Source organism: Homo sapiens, chromosome 10 (assembly GCF_000001405.40).
Source record: "Homo sapiens chromosome 10, GRCh38.p14 Primary Assembly".
NCBI classification, from domain to species: domain Eukaryota; kingdom Metazoa; phylum Chordata; class Mammalia; order Primates; family Hominidae; genus Homo; species Homo sapiens.
Window position 1 is genome coordinate 91,170,186 of NC_000010.11, and position 7,827 is coordinate 91,178,012.

Below are 7,827 nucleotides of genomic sequence, written 5' to 3' on the forward strand. Positions count from 1 at the left end.
GGAGAAAATCTGGATGACCTTGGGTTTGGTGATGACTTTTTAGATATGACATCATAGGCACAGCCATGAAAGAATTGATAAGCTGGACTTCATAAAAATTTAAAAATTTCTGCTCTGCAGAAGACATTGTCAAGAGAATAAAAAGATGAGCCACAGACTGGGAGAAAATATTTGCAAAAGATATATCAAATAATAGTCTGTTATCTAAAATATACAAGGAACTCTTAAAACTGAATATGCAACCCATTTACAAAATGGACCAAAGACCTTAACAGACACCTCACCAGAGAAGATACACAGATGGCAAATAAGCATATGAAAAGATACTGCACATCATATGTCATCAGGAAAATGCAAATCAAAACAACCATGATATACCACTATACACAATTGAAATGGCCAAAATTCAGAACACTGACAACAGCAAATGCTGACAAGGAGGTGGAGCAACAGGAACTCTCATTTATTACTAGTGGGAATGTCAAACAGTACAGCTACTTTGGAAGACAGCTTGGTGGTTTCTTACAAAACGAAACATACTCTTACTGCACAATCCAGCAGTTGTGTCCTTTGGTATTTACCCAAAGGAGTTGAAAACTTGTGGCCACACAGAAACCTGCACACTGATGTTTATAGTAGCTTTCTTCATAATTGCCAAAACTTGGAAGCAACCAAGATGTCATTCAGGATAAACTGTGGTACATCCAGGTAATGGAATATTAGTGCTAAAAATAAATAGCTATCAAGCCATGAAAAGACATGGAGGAAGCTTAAATGCATATTCCTAAGTCAAAGAAGCCAATCTGAAAAAGCTTCATACTGTGTGATTCCAACTACACAACATTCTGGGCAAGCAAAACCATAGAGTAAAAAGATCAGTGGTTGCCAAGGGTTAGAATGGAGGAGGGATGAACAGGTATAGCACAGACGATTTTTAGGGCAGTGAAACTACTCTGTGATATAACAGTGCATACATGGTATTATACATTTGTCCAAATCCCTAGAATGTAGAAGAATACAAAATACAGATGTGGCATGGAGGAAGAAAGAAGTTAGATGAAAACAAAAGGAAATTTTGAGTTCTGAAGAGGAAAGTTGATGGCTGGGAGGTGGCTGCATTTGAAATGGGTTGGTTTTTTTATATTGATTTGCCAAAAGTAAGTGGAGAGTAAAGTGTAAAGCTGAAGTGGAGGAGAGTTGAAAAGGTTTGGTAAACTTTGGGTTTGCGCAGTGGGGAGCCAAAGGTGATGAGGGCTTGACAAGTTGCTAGAAGGCCTTAGCCTAGTGATAGGATGAATCACTCCTGTATTTCATGACTTTCTCCAGCAATGCTCAGAAAATTGGAAGTAGAGATGCTGTGAGTATCACTGAAACTGCCAACTCCATATGGGCCCTTGGTTGAGTAGGAAGGCAAGTGACACTAGAGTGTCGATGGGCTGGGAGAATAGCAGGGAATATGAGATTAGAGTGTGTAATGGCTGATTCAGCAAGAGTGAAGGAAAGGGAAAAACGAATGTGGAGGGAGGTTCTGAGGGTAGTGGTGAAGGGCATGAGGAACTTTCAGGGTTATTGTGGAGGGATCAGTTCTGAGTAATGACAAAAATTCAAAGTGTGGCTGAGCTTGGGGATGTTGAGTGACACAGGCCAATGGAGGTAGAAGATCATTGGTCTTCGGGAACTATGAGGCCAAAATATCAAAATGATTTTGTATCAGTGTCAGTGTCTGTCTTTAAAACTATGGAATACACCTCCTAAAGCTTTTCTGAGCATTTATTCCATAGAGATGGAAAGTACCTTAAAGATAAGGAAGTTGTTCCTTTATTTTAAAGATGAGGAAGCTTTAAAATCCTTTAAACATTTTTAGATATATGTGATTTGCCCAGGATTACAGACGTGTGGCAGAGCTAGCTCTCGAAATAACTGGGATCTCTGAATCTCAGTTAATATTGCCCTCTAGGGCCAGGCGCGGTGGCTCATGCCTGTAATCCCAGCACTTTGGGAGGAGGAGGTGGGCAGATCACTTGAGGTCAGGAGTTTGAAACCAGCCTGGCCAACGTGATGAAACCCTATTAAAAATACAGAAATTAGCTGGGCGTGGTGGCATGTGCCTGTAATCTCAGCTACACCGGAGGGTGAAGCAGAAGAATCATTTGAACCCAGGAGGCGGAGGTTGTAGTAAGCTGGGATTGTGCCACTGCACTCCAGCCTGTGCCACAGAATGAAACTCCCCTTCAGAGAAAAAAAAAATGCCCTCTAGGGCAGAAGAAGTAATTAAAGTATCCACTCAAAAAAATCTTAGAACACTTCCTCACCATACTGTGAAGTAGACCCATGACTGTCATACACCAACCAAATAAATGACTCCACATCTGTGTGGAATAGTATGGTGTCATATAAGAAGCCAGGAATGGATGGGTCATCTCTCTCCTTTAAACACTTCCTCAATGGCAAAAAGGTGTTGGTTACCCTTGAACATAGGTTATTGAGTACTCATAACTTTTGTGTTTGCCCCCAAGTTAAACTAACCTTTGTGGCCGCAGACACATTGTTATATCAACTAGAAGTGAATTAAATGACTGAGAAAGGTTTGCGCATAGGTCCTTAGTTTATTGCTTTCACAGCTATATTTAGTGGATCTCTCCTTCCTCACTGGGAATGTCAGGAAACTCACAAATGCCATGACAGGGACTACTAGCTTTGAGATCCTGTTTTTGAACTCAGAACTTTGAAAAGTAGAAAGTTCTTTGTCCTCATAAAATGTTAAAGGAACCCTTAATTAGATGTATGGAAATTGGAATTAGTCCTGATTCTGTCACTATTTGTGATCTTACTAATCAATAATAAGTGCCTAAGTTTCCTCATCTGTAGTGTAGGAAAAAAATTACATCTGGTCTATCTCCTAGGTATTCAATGTGAAAACTCTTTGCAAGTAAATAGTGTTATGCAAAGGTAAGTTATCACTATTACCATATGGGATGCAACACACACTGTGATATTTAAGAGCTTAATTTTTAAAGTGTTTTGAATAAAACAACAAAGATGACTATTGAAATTTGGTGGGGGATTGGTTTAGGCCCTTGAAGTAAATTATGACAACTTTTCTCTTGTTATCCCTGTGATAGTGTGTAATAATTCTGGCCAAGTGAGATTAAGGCAGTGTGTTTCATGACAAATGAAATTTCTGCCTTTTTATTTCTCTTTTAACCTTAAAAAAAGTTTTTGTATTGTAAAATATAACACATATACAGAAAAGTTTTGAAATGTAAATACACAGTTAAATGAATTTTAAAAAGTGAACATCCATGTAACTACCACCCAGCTCAAGAAATAGACCAATTTAATTTGTTTTTCCTTCCATGGGAATCTTTTATTCTTCTGCTAGAGGGAGTTGGCTTTTTTTTTTTTTTTTTCCCACAGAAGCCATGAGTAGTAGCAGGAGGCAATTATAAGTTTTGGCAAGTCCAAAATATGCGCTTTTTTCAAGTGGAGCAAGATCAAAAGTATAATATTAGTGTTTTATTCAGTAGTTATTCTGGTAATTTATTTCTTATTTCTTAAACTGTGAATTTAGTATTTAGGACAAGTGCTAGGTTTTCAGCCTTAAAGATTAAATTCTTCAGGCTAAGGATCTTCAGATTTGTGTCCTTTGGATGGAAGTAAAAAAAATTGTGATACTCATATGTCAGAAAAGTCCTCATGCTTGATTATTTGTTAAAAGTTCTGATTTCCTTCCTTTGCCTGTCTTTAGAAGTAAAACAGCTAAGACTCCAGTATTGATGATGATTTTGGGCAGCAAAGATCTTCTTGGAAAATGCTTGATAGTTATCAAGGTAAATACCTTTGGGCCACTGCATTTTTTTAATGCAATGAAGATTTTTCACTGAATCCTTCATGCCACTTCATATCTAACCTACAGTGGCCCAAGTTACTACTTAACTGTAATTGGGCTACAACTTGGGCCACTGTAGGTTGGATATGAAGTGGCATGAAGGATTCAGTGAAAAAGCTTCATTGCATTAAAAAAAAGTCTGTATTTTTAGGCTGGGCACAGTGGCTCATGCCTGTAATCCCATCACTTTGGGAAGCTAAGGTGGGTGGATCACTTGAGGCCAGGAGTTGGAGACCAGCCTGGCCAACATGGTGAAACCCCATCTTTACTAAAAATACATAAATTAGACAGGTGTGGCGGTGCATGCCTGTAATCCCAGCCACTGGGGAGGCTGAGGCACGAGAATCACTTGAACCCAGGAGGTGGAGATTGTAGTGAGCTGAAATCACACCATTGTACTCCAGCATGGGCAACAGAATGAGACTGTCTCAAAAAACAAAAAACTGTATTTTTATTTGTTTGATTATAATCTACTGTAATAAATCCTATCATGCTTTAAGACTAAGTTAATGAATTAATAGATTAAAAATAGATTAAAAGTCTTGTGGCATCTAGAAGGATTCTCTTGAATTTTTTTATGATCAAAAAATAAAGGATAATAAACATTAATTGGGAAAGTATCTTATCTAATCAGGCATGTCTGTAAAATACAGAAAAATTATGGCTGTTAAAAGAAATTGATAAGGATTCATCTTTGGTGGCAATCTCTGGTTTTGAGATTTAGTTCATGGGACTTCAGATTAGAATTTGGTGGATGGAACGCATGTGTTTACTGTCAGTCTCTCCTGCAACACCATTACAGGCATGGTAAATATGAGAAGAGGCAACAGTAGAGAAGAGGCATCAGCAAATTTTTGGAAGATGAAAAGCAAATAGACCTGTGGCAACTGCCTTAGTATAACAGAGGAAGTTGATACCTAAGTGCCTTTAACTGAGGTTGAGAGGAGATGCTGGGAAGAAACAGTCACTGTATCCCTAAGAATTCCAGAAAGTTTCTGGAATTAGAGGCTTTGGAGTGGGGCATAAGCCTGAAAATGAGGGATAGGTGGAAAATCTGTAAGGGAACTAGATCCTCACTTCACTTCTTCTATGCCATACCACAAGATGAAGTCTTTAACAGAGACTGGACATGTTTTTTCTGAATAAATTAAAGTAAAATAGAGGTTCTGGATGTAGGGATGCCAGACAAAACAGAAGAGAAAGGTACAATGATCGACTGAAAAAGGAATTTAATGAAATTCGGCTCACAAAACAGTGAGACTCCATACTCCTCCCCAAGCCCAAACCTAGGATAGGTAATTCAGTCAGGACTGGAGGACTCTTCTCTGGGTAAAATGAGCAGCCTTAGAAGGACTTACAGAAACTGACATTTGAGGTCCGACAATGAAAAAAATGACTTACCACCCATTTTTTCTACAGTGAACCCATCATTCAACAACCCTATAACCTTCCTCCCTCTTCCCCCTACCCCTGTGAACATGGAACTTGCAGTCAGCTTTTTGATGCTTTGTTCTTAAATGTAAATGAATAGGAGACATTGGAAGAAGGCCTTCAATAAAAAAGGCAAAACCCAAAACAAATGAACAACAATAAAAAAATCACAGAAAGCAGAAATGCAAGGAAAAGAAAATAAAAATATCAGAGACTAGGATTGCAACCCCTGCCTTTTTTTGTTTTCCATTTGCTTGGTAGATCTTCCTCCATCCCTTTATTTTGAGCCTATGTGTGTCTCTGCACGTGAGATGGGTTTCCTGAATACAGCACACTGATGGGTCTTGACTCTTTATCCAGTTTGCCAGTCTGTGTCTTTTAATTGGAGCATTTAGCCCATTTACATTTAAGGTTAATATTGTTATGTGTGAATTTGATCCTGTCATTATGATGTTAGCTGGTTATTTTGCTCGTTAGTTGATGCAGTTTCTTCCTAGCCTCCACGGTCTTTACAATTTGGCATGTTTTTGCAGTGGCTGGTACCGGTTGTTCCTTTCCATGTTTAGTGCTTCCTTCAGGAGCTCTTGTAGGGCAGGCCTGGTGGTGAAAAAATCTCTCGGCATTTGCTTGTCTGTAAAGTGTTTTATTTCTCCTTCACTTAGGAAGCTTAGTTTGGCTGGATATGAAATTCTGGGTTGAAAATTCTTTTCTTTAAGAATGTTGAATATTGGCCCCCACTCTCTTCTGGCTTGTAGAGTTTCTGCCGAGAGATCAGCTGTTAGTCTGATGGGCTTCCCTTTGTGGGTAACCCAACCTTTCTCTCTGACTGCCCTTAACATTTTTTCCTTCATTTCAAGTTTGGTGAATCTGACAATTATGTGTCTTGGAGTTGCTCTTCTCAAGGAGTATCTTTGTGGCATTCTCTGTATTTCCTGAATTTGAATGTTGGCCTGCCTTGCTAGATTGGGGACGTTCTCCTGGATAATATCCTGCAGAGTGTTTTCCAACTTGGTTCCATTCTCCCTATCACTTTCAGGTACACCAATCAGACATAGATTTGGTATTTTCACATAGTCCCATATTTCTTGGAGGCCTTGTTCATTTCTTTTCATTCTTTTTTCTCTAAACTTCTCGCTTCATTTCATTCATTTGATCTTCCATCACTGATACCCTTTCTTCCAGTTGATCGAATCAGCTACTGAAGCTTGTGCATTCGTCACGTAGTTCTTGTGCCATGGTTTTCAGCTCCACCAGGTCCTTTAAGGACTTCTCTGCATTGGTTATTCTAGTTAGCCATTCATCTAATCTTTTCTCAAGGTTTTTAACTTCTTTGCCATAGGTTTGAACTTCCTCCTTTAGCTTGGAGAAGTTTGATCGTCTGAAGCCTTCTTCTCTCAACTCATCAAAGTCTTTCTCCGTCCAGCTTTGTTCCGTTGCTGATGAGGAGCTGTGTTCCTTTGGAGGAGGAGAGGCGCCCTGATTTTTAGAATTTTCAGTTTTTCTGCTCTGTTTTTTCCCCATCTTTGTGGTTTTATCTACCTTTGGTCTTTGATGATGGTGACGTACAGATGGGGTTTTGGTGTGGATGTCCTTTCTGTTTGTTAGTTTTCCTTCTAACAGTCAGGACCCTCAGCTGCAGGTCTGTTGGAGTTTGCTGGAGGTCCACTTCAGACCCTGTTTGCCTGGGTATCAGCAGCAGAGGCTGCAGAACAGCGAATATTGGTGAACAGCAAATGTTGCTGCCTGATCGTTCCTCTGGAAGTTTTGTCTCAGAGGGGTACCCGGCTGTGTGAGGCGTCACTCTGCCCCTACTGGGGGATGCCTTCCAGTTAGGCTACTCGGGGGTCAGGGACCCACTTGAGGAGGCAGTCTGTCCATTTTCAGATCTGAAGCTGCATGCTGGGAGAACCACTACTGTCTTCCAAGCTGTCAGACAGAGACATTTAAGTCTGCAGAGGTTTCTGCTGCCTTTTGTTTGGCTATGCCTTGCCCCCGGAGGTGGAGTCTACAGAGGCAGACAGGCCTCCTTGAGCTGCGGTGGGCTCCACCCAGTTCGAGCTTCCTGGCCGCTTTGTTTACCTACTCAAGCCTCAGCAATGGTGGGCGCCCGTCCCCCAGCCTCACTGCTGCCTTGCAGTTCAATCTCAGACTGCTGTGCTAGCAATGAGCGAGGCTCCATAGGCGTAGGACCCTCCAAGCCAGGTGCAGGATATAATCTCCTGGTGCGCCATTTGCTAAGACCGTCGGAAAAGTGCAGTATTAGGGTGGGAGTGACCCAATTTTCCAGGTGCCGTCTGTCACCCCTTTCCTTGGCTAGGGAAGGGAATTCCCTGACCCCTTGTGCTTCCTGGGTGAGGCGATGCCTCTCCCTGCTTCAGCTCACACTTGGTGCACGGTGCACTGCACCCACTGACCTGCACCCACTGTCCAACAATCCCCAGTGAGATGAACCCGGTACCTCAGTTGGAAATGCAGAAATCATCCATATTCTGCGTCGCTCACACTGG

General features: G+C 40.9%; 1 protein-coding gene across 7 annotated transcripts in view, besides 1 other annotated feature; it reads left to right on the top strand.

Moving 5' to 3' along the window:
* PCGF5 (polycomb group ring finger 5) overlaps positions 1 to 7,827 on the top strand; it is a 128,119-nt gene that overhangs the window by 13,967 nt on the left and 106,325 nt on the right. The gene's annotated exons all lie outside the window — the stretch shown is intronic.
* Positions 2,087 to 2,320: a silencer, noted in NCBI's record as "fragment chr10:92932029-92932262 (GRCh37/hg19 assembly coordinates)". NCBI's record gives its function as "represses an EF-1alpha promoter that drives an FKBP-Casp9 reporter gene in an ReSE screen in K562 erythroleukemia cells {active_cell/tissue: K562}" and the evidence as "EXISTENCE:reporter gene assay evidence [ECO:0000049][PMID:32094911]".